This window comes from Homo sapiens, chromosome 4 (genome assembly GCF_000001405.40).
Source record: "Homo sapiens chromosome 4, GRCh38.p14 Primary Assembly".
NCBI lineage: Eukaryota > Metazoa > Chordata > Mammalia > Primates > Hominidae > Homo > Homo sapiens.
The window spans coordinates 161,509,293-161,527,334 of NC_000004.12; the positions used below are offsets into that span (position 1 = coordinate 161,509,293).

General features: G+C 33.1%; 1 protein-coding gene across 4 annotated transcripts in view, besides 1 other annotated feature; it reads right to left on the reverse strand.

Moving 5' to 3' along the window:
- The window catches only part of FSTL5 (follistatin like 5), a 780,104-nt gene that overhangs the window by 125,396 nt on the left and 636,666 nt on the right, over positions 1 to 18,042 (reverse strand). For 2 of the 4 annotated variants that reach the window (NM_001128427.3, NM_020116.5), the window contains exon 11: positions 1,106 to 1,132. The exons of the other annotated variants lie outside the window; for them this stretch is intronic. In NM_001128427.3, the coding sequence (NP_001121899.1) occupies positions 1,106 to 1,132 (27 nt within the window). The remainder of the gene's footprint in view (positions 1 to 1,105; positions 1,133 to 18,042) is intronic. 4 annotated transcript variants of the gene reach the window in all.
- Positions 15,613 to 16,450: an enhancer, noted in NCBI's record as "OCT4-NANOG hESC enhancer chr4:162446057-162446894 (GRCh37/hg19 assembly coordinates)". NCBI's record gives its function as "activates a minimal SCP1, AML or CMV promoter by ChIP-STARR-seq in primed H9 embryonic stem cells {active_cell/tissue: H9 hESC(primed)}" and the evidence as "EXISTENCE:reporter gene assay evidence [ECO:0000049][PMID:30033119]".

Below are 18,042 nucleotides of genomic sequence, written 5' to 3' on the forward strand. Positions count from 1 at the left end.
AACTCCATCTCAAATAAATAAATATATAAATAAGTAAGTACTGATATGTCAAGGCTACTTTCATTAACGAGTGAATTATGTACATTTAAAGGTGAAATATTTGAAGTGGAATAAAAATAGAGGGTATAGTTATACCAGAATTTCTTTAATAAACCCAGGTTTTAATGGAGTTCATACAAAAGATTTAAGGAGCAACGGGATCTAAGAGAGAAAAAAAAAATAAGTGGACTGCTTCATCCTTGAGCACAGAATTGAGATGGCTAAATTCCAGAATTACTTGAGGCTTTGAGACTGGCTTTCACAGGGTACAGTGACTTGGGTTCCTACAGGAAGCTATAATCAGGGAAGAGAAATTTTGTTTAAGGTGGGTTTTGAAGACAATTTTTGGCCATTGCTCACCAGGAGTGTAATGATGGCTTTTAGACATTTTTCTCTTAAGAATTTCATTTAACCACAATTGATGGACTATTTAAGTACTGGGGCAAACGCATTCTTCCCAGCCTTTGTGACTAAATGAGGAAAACCAGTAACAACTGCAATAATATATGAAAATGGATACTGTTTATTGAGTGCTGTTAATAACTAAAGAACTGATAACAACCCTACTGAGTATTAACAACTACTATACTCCTTTTTGAGATAAGAAGATCGTGCAGGGTAACTTGCCCTATTGTTTGTAAACTTGAAGACTACATTTGAATCCAGGCCCTTCAAGTATGTAGCTCAGATTTTAATATAATTTATTATATCCCCTTGATAAGGCACAGTTTTTATAAATATTCTTACTCTGCATTAATCAGAGTTCATTATGTAAATTATGTTTAACTGAGATTGCTTTTGTTTCTTTGGTGTAATTTCATACTTTTAAAGTATTTCAATATATCGCAATGACACTTTCTGGCTATGTATCAATATTTAATCAAGCTGATGAGAACTGATAAATATGTGTAATGGTAGCAGGCTTACACAAAAATATTGAAATACCATCAATTAAAATATTGAATCAAAATGAAAAAGAAGGTAATTAATGATACAAAATATAATCAACAAATCTAATAATAATCAAGCAAAATTGTCACAACATAAAAATAATTCAACTTAGTACCTTCTTCTCTCCATAATATGTTAGCTACTGCAGCATGTTGAAAGAAAAAGAAGAAAAAGAAAAATGAGTAAAGAGAGCTTTTGCTATATGGTAATATAAATATTATTAAAGATGTCAAATATCTATGATAGAATGTGTATATAAACGTAGTGAAGTTAATTCAGTGAGCTACTTTAAATTAACAAAACAATAGCATGTTGGAATTAGCTAATAATGCTTTGTACATTTTTTGATATAGCCAATTCTTATTTGGAATACAGATTTTGTTATTAAACAAAGAACATTTTACTCTGCATTGAAAAGAATAGGAAGTTTATAAGTTAGTTTAATTGAAATGTATTTTTAGAGCAAGCATTAGTAGTTAAAACTATTAGGTTGACAGTTTATTTAAGTTGCTAATAGAAAAAGTTACACTCTTAAATTTTGCAATAATCACAATATATATTTTCACATAATATGAAATATTCCTGAACAAGAAGAGTTCTTGTAAATCCAAGATCTTGAACAACAAATTGGCCTATTTTTAAAGAGTATATGTTTTTACTGTTTTAAAACAGACAGAAAATAGATCTAAGTATACTTCGCTTCTTTTAGTACATACTGAATTGTTCTTGAACCACAGGTTTTAAAAATATTATATAGTGACTTAATCAGTAAAGAGCTAATATATTAAGATAGAAATTAAGAAAAAAATCCAGTTGAAACTATTCTGAAGGAAATGCCTGCTTCTTTAATAATTCAAAGTTACAATAACACTATATGTTCTTAAAGCAAAATCATAAAAGTGTAACTAATAGAAAATCTCATACACAGCAATTACTTCCAGTATTTTGACCATATTAAAACTTAATGACTTTTTTTTCCAACTGAACCCACATGTGTATGTTTTAGAGCCAAGAATGAAGTCTAGCACTCCTCACCTACGGCTGAAGGCCCAAGTCATGCAGTTTTCAGCATCTGCTATATTTCTTTAAAAAATTAATTATTAATGGTAAACATTGCAATTTTTAGATTTTTAATTCCTTAATGACATTTATTCAAACATAAATACATGATGTGTGCATTCCTGCAGCACATTTTATGCTGTTGTTCTTGTGCCAGCAGTGCACTTTGAACAAATACGAAAAAAGTATAACTTTCAATTATGAGATGAGTAAGTTCTGAACATGTAATGTACAATGTGGGTGGTGATGGATGTGTTAATGATTGTGATAATCATTACATAATATATACATCATCTTTTCATCTTAAACATATTCAATCTTTGTCAACTAAATATGTTATAAGATGATAAAAAGACAAATCTTATTCTCAAGGAGAGGTTATAGACATAGGAGGAAAGAGAACATTGAAAACAAATAAATACAAACATGTAATAAATGAAAGGGAAGAAGCAAATTTCAAATTCAGCAAATGTGGACAAGACAGAATGATCAGCTATGAGAAGAAGATGGGTACTGGAGGGACAGCTTCATTGAGATGGTGCTGAACAAGAAATGTAATATTACCAAAGCTTACAAGAGTGCTGTGCGGTGTAGGGGGCTAGAGAGGTTATTCCATACATGAGGAAAAAAGAAAATATGTTCAAGGTATATCAACCAGAAGCATCAGAACATATTGAGGGAATGTGTCAAGTAATTTGGTATATTTGGCGGGTAAGACTGGTTTAAAAAAATAAAGCTGGAGAATTTATTCATGATAAAATCAAGTAAGTCTGCACACACAATGCAAAAGAAGTGGATTTTTTTGTAGTTTTAGGAATGGTTGAACTATGATTAGACTTATAAATCTTTCTCTGGCCTATACAAAAATAACAACGCATGTGTTTCCTTATATCTCCACCCACTTACTTGGTGAGTACCAATTGAGTACCTAACATGTGTTAGATGTATTCAGCACTCACATACACAGGTTAGAACAGGCAATCTCTGTGCCCATAGAACCTATATTCTAATTGGGGAGACAAAAAGTAATCAAATGATGACAGAAAAAAATTCAAAGTTATGAATTTAGTGTGTTATAAAGAGAAAAACATAGTAATGTGAATGCATTTGTTGGGTGGATTAGACATTGTTAAACAGGGGGAACTTCTCTAATTATGATCAAGGTGAAGTATGAGAAATGAGTAAGAATAAATGAAGTGAAGGGTATGATTCAATTTCCAGATAGAAAAAAAGCATGTGAAAAATTCTAGTGGCATATCAAAGCACCACTATTTTAAAGGAGTAAGGACATTAGAACTAAGGACAGAGACATTTTTAAGACTGGCAGTCATTTAGGAATAAATACCAAAAATTACAGACTTTGTAATAGATAAAAATCAAGGCACTACATAATGAATTTAAAATTACATAAGCTAAAACACAGTATTATGTTTTAACTGTTAAAGTTGGATGTAAAATAAATAAATCCACAATCTCGGTCTGTTTCTTTAACATATCACTCTCAATATTTGAAAAATGAAGAAAAATAAAGACAAAGTTTTAACAATACAATTATCAAGATTGAATTACTGTATTTATAATGATTGTTTTACTACACAAACAGAAAGCATTTTCCAATTTTATTGACATATCTTCAAGGGTGGCCACGAAGTAAACTACAAAACAAAAAGCCTGGCTCTACTCTGTAAATCTGTTCCAATAAGCAGAGATTGTTTCTGCATTTTCAGACAAGAAGTAAAAATGCAAATATACAAATCTTCAAGCCCATAAAATTCACCAATAAATTGAATATTTTTAAAAACCAAATATAACCACAATTTATATAAAACATATCAAAAAAAGAAAATTAACCATGTGGTCCCAAAGAGTTTTAAGCAAATGATAATACACAGACTGAACTGAAGCACTGAACTGAACCAAACAAGGAGGGGGAGAGAGAGAGAGAGAGAGAGAGAGAGAGAGAGAGAGACAGAGGAAGAGGAGGAGGAGGAGGAGAAAGAGGGCCTTTTGATGGGTGGAGGGGAGTAGGGAGAGGATCAGGAAAAATAACTAATGGGTACTTGGTTTAATACCAGGGTGATTCCTCAAAGACCTAAAAACAAGAAATACCATTTGACACAGCAATCCCATTACTGGGTATATACCCAAATGTGTATAAATGTATATAAATCATTCCATTATAAAGACACATGCACACATATATTCATTGCAGCACTATTCACAATAGCAAAGATATGAAATCAACCTAAATCCCCATCAGTGGTAGACTGGGTAAAGAAAATGTGGAATACATACACCATGGAATATTATGCAGCCATAAAAAGAACAGGATCATGTCCTTTGCAGGAACTTGAATGGAGCTGGAGGCCATTATCCTTAGCAAACTAATGCAGGAACATTAAAAGAAATACCACATGTTCTCACTTATAAGTGGGAGCTAAATGGTGTGAAAACACGGAAACATGAAAGAGAACACACTGAGGCCTGTTGGAGTGTGGTGGATAGGAGGAGAGAGAATATCAAGAAAAATAACTAATGGGCACTTGGTTAATACTTGCATGATGAAGTAATCTGTACAACAAACCCCCATGACACACATTTACCTATGTAACAAATCTGAACATGAACCCCTGAACTTAAAATTTTAACAAAAAGAAATTAATTTAATACATGATATTAGTTTGTCAATTAAGGACCGTCAATATAATTTAACCAAACAAAAATGCAATCTGATAAAATACATAGCATATTACTAAGTATAATATAAATTCTCTTAGTAAACTAATAAACTAAGAATACAGGGATATTTAAATTAATAAAAAATTAACATACACCAGAATAATAAATAAGTGACCATCAATGGATGATTGGATAAATAAAGTATTACACACACACACACATACACACACACAGACACAGACACACACACCATGGAATACTACTCAGCCATAAAAAGAAATGAAATCTTGTCTTTTGCAGTAACATGGATGGAACCACAGGCCAGTATCCTAAATGAAATAACCCAGAAACAGAAATTCAAATATTGAACGTTCTCACTTACAAGTAAGAGCTAGAAAATGGGTTCACATGGACATAAAAAAGAAACAATAGACATTAGTGGGAGGGTTGGAAGTAGGTGAGGAATGAAAAATAACATATTGGGTACAATGTTTACTATTCAGGTGATAGTTACACTAAAAGCCTAGACTTCACCACTAGTCAATAGATCCATGTAACAAAACTGCACTTGTACTCCCTAAATCTATAAAAGTGAAATTTTTTAAATAGATAAATAAATGGAGAATCAAAATATTGAATTGTGATTACTATTTAAAATTAATTTTTGATGGGTTGATCAATTCATTAATCTAAGAAACAAATATAAATTGTATAAATAGTATAAATAGAAGACAATCAAAATTTGAAGGTAAAATCAGTCCCAAAAGATTAAAGTAAAAGTACAAATTAAGTTCATAAGATCAATTATTTAGCAAGCTACAAGATAAATATCCAATTTCTATATTTTTCTTCTGTAAGAATAAGATGCAAAATAAAATTTTGTTTGCAATAGCTTAAAAGCATAATATATTGATGGTTTACTAGAATATAGAAAGTGTAGCAAATTAAATGTAACAGCCACTAAAAATAAGCTAGATGGGAATATAAACTATTCCTAGATGAAGATAATGAATACTATGTAGATAAAATGTATTTTGCAATTACTTAACTTAAAAATTATATATATTGTTATTATCTGTTTAAAACATATTCCATTTTATATACAAAGTTAGAATGTACATTAAATTAAAAAAAACCTCAAATTTAATTGCCCTGGTATAATAATACATTCTCTTTTTGTTTGTTTCTTTGTTTGTTTGGGGGTTGTTTGTCTGTTGTCCAGGCTGGAGTGGAATGGTGAGATCTCAGCTCACTGCAATCTCCACGTACTGGGTTCAAGAGATTCTCCTGCCTCAGCCTCCCAAGGAGCTGGGATTACAGGCTCCCACCACCACACCCAGCTATTTTTTGTTGTTGTTGTATTTTTAGTAGAGATGGCATTTCACCATGTTGTTCAGGCTGATCTCGAACTCCTGACCTCAGGTGATCCACCCACCTTGGCCTCCCAGAGTGCTGGGATTACAAGCATATAATGCATTTTTTCATGTCTTTTCATTACTTTTCTGATTTTCATATAAATGCCTACATATATGGAAATTTATCTGATAAAATATATAAATATATAATATATAAATATAATTTTTCATTCCTTTTATTCATTTGTTATAACATGCCTAATATAGTCTTTATACATGGTTTCAAATACTGTTTCATCATATGAATTTCTGCCTTTTAAAAGTATTATGATTTACTTTATTAATTCTAACCTAGTACCAATATCAGATGCTAGCATAAGTAATAGAAGCTCAATAAATATCATTGGCCTTTATCAGTCATACAGGTGTATGTGTATGTGTGTGGTGTGTGTCTATGTGATTACTGTGATGACCATCCCACTAAGTAGTTATTTCCAGTAGTATATGTTCCTGCAAGAGGTATGAAAGCCTTTAAAACATTTGATATATGTCAGGTTGATTTCCAAAAGATTGTTACCAGCACCACCAGCAATCTGTGAAATTATTCATTTCAAACACTTCAGGTGAACTATTATTGAATGCATGTGCGTGTGTGCATGACCTTGTGAACAAGCTTACTAAATGTGAATATATATATACACATATATAATATATATAAATTAAAAACATAATGTATTATATATTATATTCTTATATATATATTAGTTTGGTTACCTGTGATATTGAATATATTTGGAAATATTTGGAGAAAACTTTTACCTTCTGCTTATGTCCTCAGCTCCTTATTTCTATTAGGGTATTGTAATATATATATTTTACATTTTTAACAGCTGCTTCTATATTGGAATGGCTTAGTTTCACCACATTAATTTATCCTTCAGACAATATAAACAGCTACATATAATAAATTCAGGCTTAAATATGCCACTACTGTTATATATATACATGTGTGAATTCATTATATGTAAATATATATTTTTTTACATATTCTTATCAATGTCCTTAGTATGTCTGTGTATATATACACACACTAAGTATATATGTATAGTGAATTTATATGTAATTTATTATATATATACACACATATATAAAAATATATTTACATATAGTAAATTATATATATTTCATATAGTAAATTATATATTTTATATAATAAATTATATATTTTATATAATAAATTATATATTTTATATAATAAATTATATATTTTATATAATAAATTATATATACACACACTAAGTATATATGTATAGTGAATTTATTATATGTAAATATATATATATATATGTACACACACACACACACACACACACACACACACACAATTTTTTTTTCCTCAATGTCCTTAGTATAGCACATAGGGGCTTCCATGATATGTCCTTGTCATCTTCAACTCACATTCCAAACATCAAGACTTTTTGAATCTCTTTATTTTAAGGGATATCCTTACCAGAAATCTCCACCTAGTTTTCTCTCCAGTAAGACCCATGCTCTGTTGCCCAGGCTGGAGCGTAGTGGTGTGATCTCTGCTCAACACAACCTCCACCTGTTCAAGCGATTCTTGTGCCTCAGCCTCCTGAATAGCTGGGATTACAGAAGTGTGCCACCATACCTGGCTAATTTTTATATTTTTCATAGAGATGGGGTTTCACTGTGTTGGCCAGACTGGTCTCGAACTCTTGACCTCAGGTAATCTGCCTGCCTCGGCTTCCCAAAATGTTGGTATTGCAGGCATGAGCCACCATGCCTGGCCAACCCAGCTTAGTTTTTAAACTATAGTTAGTCTGTCTGGAACCAAGACTTTGGACTAAATAACTTTTCCTTTCACACATGGAGCCCTGTGAAACAACTAATGTACTCAATATACAATAAAAATTATCTGCTTTGATATCTTTTATTCATAATTGAACAATAAAACCCTCAAAGTTATAAACCACTTAATTTAATATGTATTCACTACATAACTGAAATGTAAAATTTTTTTTGAAGATAATATACACCTTATAATGAAAATGTGCTCAGTGGAATAGATGCCTGACAGGAGTGACTGAAACCTTTACTAGTGCTTTTTAGTAAATTGCCTTATTTCCTGTGTTAGGATCTTACACTTATTTTCAAAATGATGGATCTCATATTAAATATGCTACCTCTATAAAGAAACGTATGTGGAGAGTTGAATGATGTTATATAAGCAACAGCAATAAGGTAGTTACCTACATAACATCATGCTGTACTATTGCAGAGCTACTTTTCTTGGCTATTCATGTGTAAATTGCCTGAATTTTATATTAAATAATTTTTTTTTGCTTGTCCTTCTCCTTTTCTGAAAGTTTCAGGTTTTCACCATTGCAAATCATTTTTTGATAAAATGAACTTATATAATGATAACATTTAAATTAGATGTCTTATTGACTGCTTTCCTTTTGGATTTAAGAAACTGACTTAACTTCAGCAGCTAAATAAAAAAGGGCAACCTTAAAATAAAAAATGTGGATAAAGTGTAATCTGTAAAAACTTATGGTTAGTTCTATGGTAGTTGAAATTTCTTTGAATATACATATGGAGAATGAACTAAGACTTTAACCTATGCTATTTTTAGGCTAGAAACAACATTTGATATGTCAAGTACATTGCCGGTCATATGCCAAATTTAAAGCCACTTTCAAATGAACCTGTCATTCTTGGAAATTAATTGAAGATTGTTTCCTCCTGTGACCACACAGGGTTTTAACCTAACGTCTAACATAAGCTGATTAGGCTGCAGTGCCCAGCTTACATTAGGGCACGTAATACAGAAATTAGCCAGAAAACTGTGACCTTAATTTTGAAAAAGTGATGAGATGGGATAATCATATTCTTTTGGGAGGTAACTGGAATCAAGAAATGACACTTGGAAAGCAGAGATCAGAGAGAACAGGAGCTTTAAGGATGCATAGCAAAAGGCACGATAGGGTGGTATAGTCAGGACTATGATAACTTGTGACTTAAGAAGGTATGACATGGAAGAAGAGTCCACACAACCCAGGAGAGAGGCAAGAAAAGTCGGAAGTTGTCTAACTATGTAATGCAGATTTCTGGGTTCTGAATGTGGATGCATCTCTGGCTGCTTCACACTGCCAGTTTAAAGTTCACCTTAGTTTTCAAATAATCTATTACTTAATCAAACAATATAAGTCTACTCCTGACAATCAAATTAGTCTCATTGAATCCACGACAAGGTAAGAATTGTTGCTAAGTCAAAAGATTAAAGCCACCGCAAAAATAAAAAAATAAAAACAACATCCATCTTTCCTTCAAACCAAGTAAACAAAGTAGGCAGTGGTTATGTCATAGCGTGTAACAAACTGTCTCAAACTTAGTGGCTTAAAACAACAATAAACATTTATGGTCTTTGCAAATGTAGCTTGGCTGGGAGGGTTCTTGCTCAGGGTATTTCATGAGGTTACATTCATCTGAAGGCTTGTCCTGTGCTGGAAGATCCACTTCTTAAGGTGCTCATTTATATGGCTGGCAATTTGGTGCTGCTTGTTAGCAGGAGGTCTCAGTTTTTTATTCCCTGGCCTTCTGCCCAAGGCTGCCTAAGTGTCCTCACATTGTGTCAATGGGTTTCTCCCAGAAATGTGTGATCCAAAAAACCAAGGCAGAGGCCATAATGCCCTTTATGACCTGGCATCGGAAGACACTCATCTTCACTTCCACCCTGCTTTATGTGTGATAGAGACATTTACTGTTTCAACGTGGGAAGAGATTGCAAGGGTGTGTATTGCAAGAGATGACGGTAACTAGTTAATCTTGGACACCACAGTCTTAGAGTGGCATGGTGGCTCATGCTTGTAATCCCAGCACTTTGGGAGACCGGGGTGAATGGATCACCAGGTCAGGAGATCGAGACCATCCTGGCTAACCTGGTGAAACCCTGTCTCTACTAAAAATATAAAAAATTAGCCAGGAGTGGTGGTGGGCACCTGTAGTCCCCGCTACTCGGGGGGCTGAGGCAGGAGAATGGCCTGAACCCGGGAGGTGGAGCTTGCAGTGAGCCGAGATCGCTCCACTGCACTCCAGCCTGGGCGACAGAGCAAGACTCTATCTCAAAACAAAACAAAACAAAACAAAAAATAACGAAATTTCTAATAAGAAAACATAAAAACTTTTCTAGCTAACATCCTCCTAGCCAGATTGGCAACACCTAAGCTTCTAATTATATATACATACTAAGCCCACCGCTGTCAGAAAGTGACTTGATTTTGACAATTCTTCACACAAATGAGTGTGATTTTTTACATAATAAATGATAAACAGTGACATAATTAAATAATTGTGAGTAATTAGCTACAGATAAATAGGGAAGAAACATTGCCTTCTAACTCACTCATACTGTATCATTTTAAGTATGTGGCAAGCAAAGTTGCTTCTTCTTTTGGTTTAACTTCCCCATTTAGAAAATATACCATAGGGAGAAGACAATTTAAAAATAAAATGATTATAATATATATTAAGTGCCTGGCACATAATCAGTTGTTCAATAGATGTTGGTTTTGCAGCCATATATATCCTAGGCGGAACTCAAGATGATCATACACATAAAGTTAAATTAATAGAAAAGTATCCAAAATAAAACATTGCAAAAAAGTATACCTTAACCTTTAGTTAGGGCTATATGAGAACTCTCCTTATCATTGCAGAGAACAGAATCATTAGAGAAGTAGACTACTTAGATATTAATTAGCATATGTTCAAGAAAAAAATTAAGATGGTAAAGCTTTAAAGCTTTCTTTAAAGTTGCTGTAATAAACCACAACATTTTTTAAGGGGCATTATTTCTAATAATTATATTCCTACTACATATTCTGAGCTCCTCACTGTTTAATATTTAAGTGTATTTGAAATGTATAATATATATAAGGTTAACATATCAATATAATTGTATTTATAATATAAAATAAAATAGCCCATATTTGAAGGAAATTGACTACTTTAAAACAATATTTATTATCAGGATAAAAATTGCTAGATATTTTGTGAGGGAAATTATAAATTATAACAAAAAACATCAAAGACATCGTATATGCTGCTGTATATAGGCATTCTAAGTAAACACATAGTTTATAATTCAACTAAATTGGCTTATCTTTAAAGACACGTAGGAGTAAATATATCCTATACTCTACCATACCAACTAATTATATGTGGTTGGAACAAAGGAAAAACTAACCCTAGAACTGAAGTTTTCTTTAAAGTACTTTAAATATATCTTAGTTCTTGAAAAGGTTTGTGATAGAGCACCCAGAAATCTGAGTTATGCAGTAAGAATTTTGATATCAAAAATTGAAGAATTACAAAACAATAATTTCTTTCATAAACAATCAAACTTTAAGCATGGCAGAATTTAGGATCTTGAATTAAAATGTATCCTGGTGGTCCCAAGAAGATGGATTAATTGTAGAATTAATTTGCTATTTTATTTATTTGTTAAGTCATCCTGTTGAATTGGAATATTTGGCACTGGCCAACTCATCTTTAGCCTGGGGTGTCTCTGAATCTTTTGTCCTTGGATATTTTTTCCTTCTCTGTGATTTCATTTTGAATGTAGCACTTACTCAAAAAACATTAATATCCTTGCTTTACTTGCATTAATGGGGAGGGATGGCAGCTTCTGCTTAAAATGACATAATAAGCTCTAGATGTTTTCATCCCAACTCTTCAGTGTTACCACTTACAGTATCTGTTCTCCTAAAACATTTGATGGATAGGCTTCTATTTAGTATAATTTACCTATCTTGCTAGATGAATTAAGTGAAACTCATGGTGATTTGAATATTACAAATCAGTTCAATATATTGAAAGAGAGGAAAATATTGAAATTATAAAAATGTCTCAAGTCATCCACAGTGTTTTTTTTTTCCTGTAATTACTCACATACATCTTACATTAATATTAATACATTAAATCCTCTGGTCATAATGCTACCTGATTTTAAATCTCTATTCTGTGAGAAGCCTTAAGTCTTCTTTATATGTTTAAGTGCCTGTAAATCAGTTTGAGAACCACAATTTTTCTCCTTAGTTTAGAAGGAAAAATTAAAGCATAGAAAAGTAACATCAATATCTAAGCCTGGTTAAAGAAAAACTGGTGGCCGGGCGCGGTGGCTCATGCCTCTAACCCCAGCACTTTGAGAAGCCGAGGCGGGCAGATCACAAGGTCAGGAGATCGAGACCATCCTGGCTAACACGGTGAAACCCCGTCTCTACTAAAAATACAAAAAAATTAGCCAGGCTTGGTGGCAGGTGCCTGTAGTCCCAGCTACTTGGGAAGCTGAGGCAGGAGAATGGCGTGAACCCGGAAGGCGGAGGTTGCAGTGAGCCGAGATCGCGCCACTGCACTCCAGCCTGGATGACAGAGCAGGACTCCACCTCAAAAAAAAAAAAAAAAGAAAAAAAAAGAAAAAAAGGTTATGAATTTGGAGTTACTGTCCACATTATTTTATCACTTCTTGTCTTCTTTCTTTGAAACATTATTGCTCCTACTAGGGGCTGTCTCACTAACTCAAATTGTTACAATGGAGAAACACATGCTAGAATATGACAAATATGCCTGTTCTCCCCTAGTCCTACATTCCCTCTCTCTCCCCTTCGTTTCAGTCCCCACCCCCATACAAGAAGGTTACTATATTAATAAGACAGAGCGATGCCAGCTGTTCTTCCTTCCATTGTCAACACTGAAACAAGGGCAGAACAAACAACAGATAGCAGCTGCAGTTATTGGCACAGAGAAAAAGAGAATGGGGTCAAAGATGCTCAGCAGAGAAGTGACAGAGACAGCAAGAAAATCAGGCCAAGTAGCAGCAGTGTAGCCAACTGTGGCTGTGGTAAGAATGAACGTAGGCACTGAAATGTGAGAGCATTTCCAGCTGACACCTTCTGATATCACAGAGACTCCACACACATGTTTAATTACTGCTCATTCTTGAAAATAAAATGTGGTCAAGCAAGACTTTGAGAATAGGATATAGAAAGGCTTTTCCTCCCGTATTATATAATGTTGATAAAATATATACATATTTACTAATATACATTTTACTAATAAAAATATATTTTGCTAATATATATAACTAATAAAATACATATTACATACATATATAATTTTTTTCTAACATTTCCTGAAAACTTATCTTTCCCACACTCTACAAGATAGTCAGCAAAGAAAAATTATCAGATTTTTATAAAATTATAGATATTATGTTCTTGGAGAATCTTTTTCAAACTGGAGGATGAAATGTTTCATGTGAATTTGACATTGTAAAATAATACCTAGATACAAGAATAAACAGTCAAATAGTCGATTGCCATACTGCTAATAAAAGTATAAGTGATTCCGAAATTATTTGAAGTTTAAAATATTTTAACATTAAATATAAATAAAAAATATCTCATTTATTATATTTTCTAAAATAGTCCTATATCTAGAATATTGTGCTATTATTTTTGCCCATTTGAATAATTTTTATCCTCTAATACACTTGAGAAAATTTTAAAGCTAATAATCATCAAAGGAATAATAGCAATAATGATAACTAGAAGAAACATTTATGGAGCCCTCATTATGTGCTAGACATTGCCAAGTATTTTATAACATTGGATCCACTAAAATTTCACTTTTATAAACGTCTCTAATAGAGTTAATTTCTATAATAGCTTAATATACAAAAGCAAAATAAAGCAAGCATGTGTTAAAAATGAGAGTAATCAAATAGGGTATAGTTAGATAATAATGTTCTATAAGTAAATTGACAAGCAGAACATCTACTTCTTTTAAGTACTACACAAAATATTTTCAGGTTAGGCTCTGTAGCCAAAATTGTCTTTCTGGCCAAACCTGTACCAGTCTTATGTATATATAGGCAGGAAGGAAATGATGCTCTGTGAACCATAAAGGCATGAAAAATGGACAGCAGATTACCTTCTATCTATTATAATAAGTTCTTTCCAGTGCCAGTTTTGCTCCAATTTAATGCTTATAATTTAATAGGCCTAAGAGGCCTAAGGCATAATTTAGTCTTTATTTTGATATAATTATATACTATGAAAAATAAGATTTTGTGAATGCACTGGTTTTATTCCTGGAAGTTCACATAGGCTGGTAAGCCAAGTAACACTATCTTTTAGGAAATTCTATTATTATCCAATACACGGATAAAGGAAGATAATTGAAAACCCATATTAACTGAGTTCCAGCAGCATGGTGAAGTGAGTTTCCACAATACGTATTTCTCCTTAAGATTAAATAGTAAACTACAAGACAATTTGTCTTATAAACTTTGCTGGGAATTGGAATTTGAATTAAACCTCCCTTGGTAATAAATAAAATACTCAAATGCCTACTATATGTAAAAAATAAAATCCAGCATAAAAATGCTTATTGTGGTATCTCCAGGATAAAAACTAAATAATTAATATGTAAAAAATAATTTTTACCTTTGAAGGGTAAACCAAAAATAAAATTCTAAGGTCCCCAACCATCTGAATGGACTTCCTCCTAAGCCAGGACTCTTAAAATTTAACCTGAGAGGCTGTTTCAGGCCATGATGGGAAGTGGGGATGGAACATGCCTCATTATACCTCTCTGGCATTAATGTCAACACAGACTTTAAGTCTGGTAAGAAACATTTTACATCCTATTCTTTCTGAAGCTTGCTAGCTAAAAGCTTCATCTACATAGTAAAACTTTGGTCTCTACAACCTCTTATCACCACAAAGACAGTCCTTTCAAACTCAACCAACAACCAGAAAATATTTAAATTTACCTATATAGCCTGGAAGCCCACCCCGCCCACCACAACTTTGAATTGTCCTGCTTTTCTGGACCAAATCAATGTATTTCCTGAATGTGTTTGATTGATGTCTCATGCCTCCCTAGAATGTAAAAAACCAAGCTATATCCTGACCACCCGGGGCACATCTTCTCATGACCTCCTGAGGGCTGTGTCACAGCCATGGTCACTCATATTTAGATCAGAATAAATCTCTACAAATATTTTACAGAGTTTGACTCTTTTCATTGACAGAATTTCTTCTGTCAAAGCTTGTATGTCTTTTCTAATTTGGCTTTTTTTTCATGCATACACTTCAATGTCTTTCTTAATCAGATTCTACGTCACAATGCCTTCTTGTCTAGTATTGTAAATATTTTTTATGATGATATATTACACAAAGTTAACCAAACCCACCATGTATTAATATTCGCTGGCCTGGGAACGGTGGCTCACGCCTGTGATCCCAGCATTTTCGGAGGCTGAGACGGGCGGATCACGAGGTCAGGAGATCGAGACCATCCTGGCTAACATGGTGAAACCTTGTCTCTACTAAAAATACAAAAATTAGCCGGAGGTGGTGGCAGACGCCTGTAATACCAGCTACTCAGCAGGCTGAGGCAGGAGAACCTCTTGAACCTGGGAGGGGGAGGTTGCAGTAAGCTGAGATCACGCCACTGCACTCTAGCCTGGGCAACAGAGCAAGACTCCATCTCAAAAAAAAAAAAAAAGTTTCCTGGATCATTCCTAGGTTTGATATTCTCTTAAATCTCCAGCTATGGAAGTGTCACTACAACCATCAAAGATCAGCTCTATGTTCATTACCTCAATAGAGACTACTTGTTTCTGTGTCTGCAGTCTCATCGCGCTTTGCTTGTGTGCATATTAACAGCAATTATTTTATTCTACTATATATTATTGTTGCCCTTCATTTCTACCTGCACTCAACTTTCTTTCTGAAAGGACTTCAAGACTTTCTAAAAATAGAGAATTGATGTATTCAGTGTTGACCACATGCTAGCAACATGTTTCTTTGTTCCTCAAGAAACACTTAAAAGGTGAAAGCATGAATGAACAAACCCATTGTTCTCTGCAGAACTTTTATTATCCTAACAATAAAAGCTCTTGTCACCTTCTAAACTATGTAAATGTCTCTTTTCTAATGTACAATTAAGAAATAGTTAAGTCAGAGGTAATACTCCGTTGGTGTTCACATACTTTGTAAGGTAACTAGCTTCACACACATTTGAATTACAGCAGTCAAATTATAGCCATTTCAAAGTGTATGCATGAAATTAAATCAGTTTGGTTCAATACAAATACTCAATTCAAATTAAAAAAAAATTTTTTTAAAAATATTCCATCCATGGGAGGTTCTTCCTAAACAGTTTCTGGATGTATGGGAATTCAATGCGACTCTAATGTGTGACATTGCTGGCTCTCAAGGCATAGGAAAAATTAACTCTAACAGATAATGTCAACATGCTTTCCAAAGGGCAGTAAAACGAACACTACTGCTGGTAATGTATGACAATTCCTATTTTTTCATATCTCACCAAGTCTTGGTAATATGCAACTTTTTGACTTTTGGTATTATAGTGGATGTGAAATAGCATTCTCTATTATTTTAGGTATTTCTCTACTATTTTAAGGTATGTTTTCTTTATAATTAATGAGAATAAGCATCTTTACATAATTCATACTGATACTTCATTTTTCCTTGTCTTTGAAATGCCTTCTTAAACCTATAGGCTAGTTTTGTGGGGGTTGACTTTATTTATTTATGATAATGAGTTTCTGTCAATTATTTGCGCTGACAATAACTTTAGGCAAATTTTTAGGATTACAACTTCTTAATCTTAATCATACAGGGTCCTCTGTTGTTTTATTCTGCTTTGTGAAACATAACTCTGAAATTACATTTTGACATTAACATTAGTATAACTTGTATGATAATGGTTGAACTATGTATATTATACACACACAGAATCCTTACTTTATAGTAAGAAATTATATTTACAAACACAATTTGACCTATTAGGGCATATTTGAGATAAAAGTAGAAATATTTTATTCATTAATAATCTGATTCTATTAAAATTTCACTATTGTAGAATGTTTCCAAAGGATGTATTATTCTTTACACCAGAGTTGAGTATTACCATATGTATTAAACAGACAGTACATCAATTTAGGGGAAAGATATACAAATGGGCATACCATTTTACTGCGTGAGATAGAAAAGTATCTTTTAATAAATTTCACATGAAGTCCTTGCCCATGCCTATGTCCTGAATGGTAATGCCTAGGTTTTCTTCTAGGGTTTTTATGGTTTTAGGTCTAACGTTTAAGTCTTTAATCCATCTTGAATTAATTTTTGTATAAGGTTTAAGGAAGGGATCCAGTTTCAGCTTTCTACATATGGCTAGCCAGTTTTCCCAGCACCATTTATTGAATAGGGAATCCTTTCCACATTGCTTGTTTTTCTCAGGTTTGTCAAAAATCAGATAGTTGTAGATATGCGGTGTTATTTCTGAGGGCTCTGTTCTGTTCCATTGATCTATATCTCTGTTTTGGTACCAGTACCATGCTGTTTTGGTTACTGTAGCCTTGTAGTATAGTTTGAAGTCAGGTATCGTGATGGCTCCAGCTTTGTTCTTTTGGCTTAGGACTGACTTGGTGATGCGGGCTCTTTTTTGGTGCCATATGAACTTTAGTTTTTTCCAATTCTGTGAAGAAAGTCATTGGTAGCTTGATGGGGATGGCATTGAATCTATAAATTACCTTGGGCAGTATGGCCATTTTCACGATATTGATTCTTCCTACCCATGAGCAAGGAATGTTCTTCCATTTGTTTGTGTCCTCTTTTATTTCATTGAGCAGTGGTTTGTAGTTCTCCTTGAAGAGGTCCTTCACGTCCCTTGTAAGTTGGATTCCTAGGTATTTTATTCTCTTTGAAGCAATTGTGAATGGGAGTTCACTCATGATTTAGCTCTCTGTTTGTCTGTTATTGGTGTATAAGAATGCTTGTGAAAAGCCAAAATTGACAAATGGGATCTAATTAAACTAAAGAGCTTCTGCACAGCAAAAGAA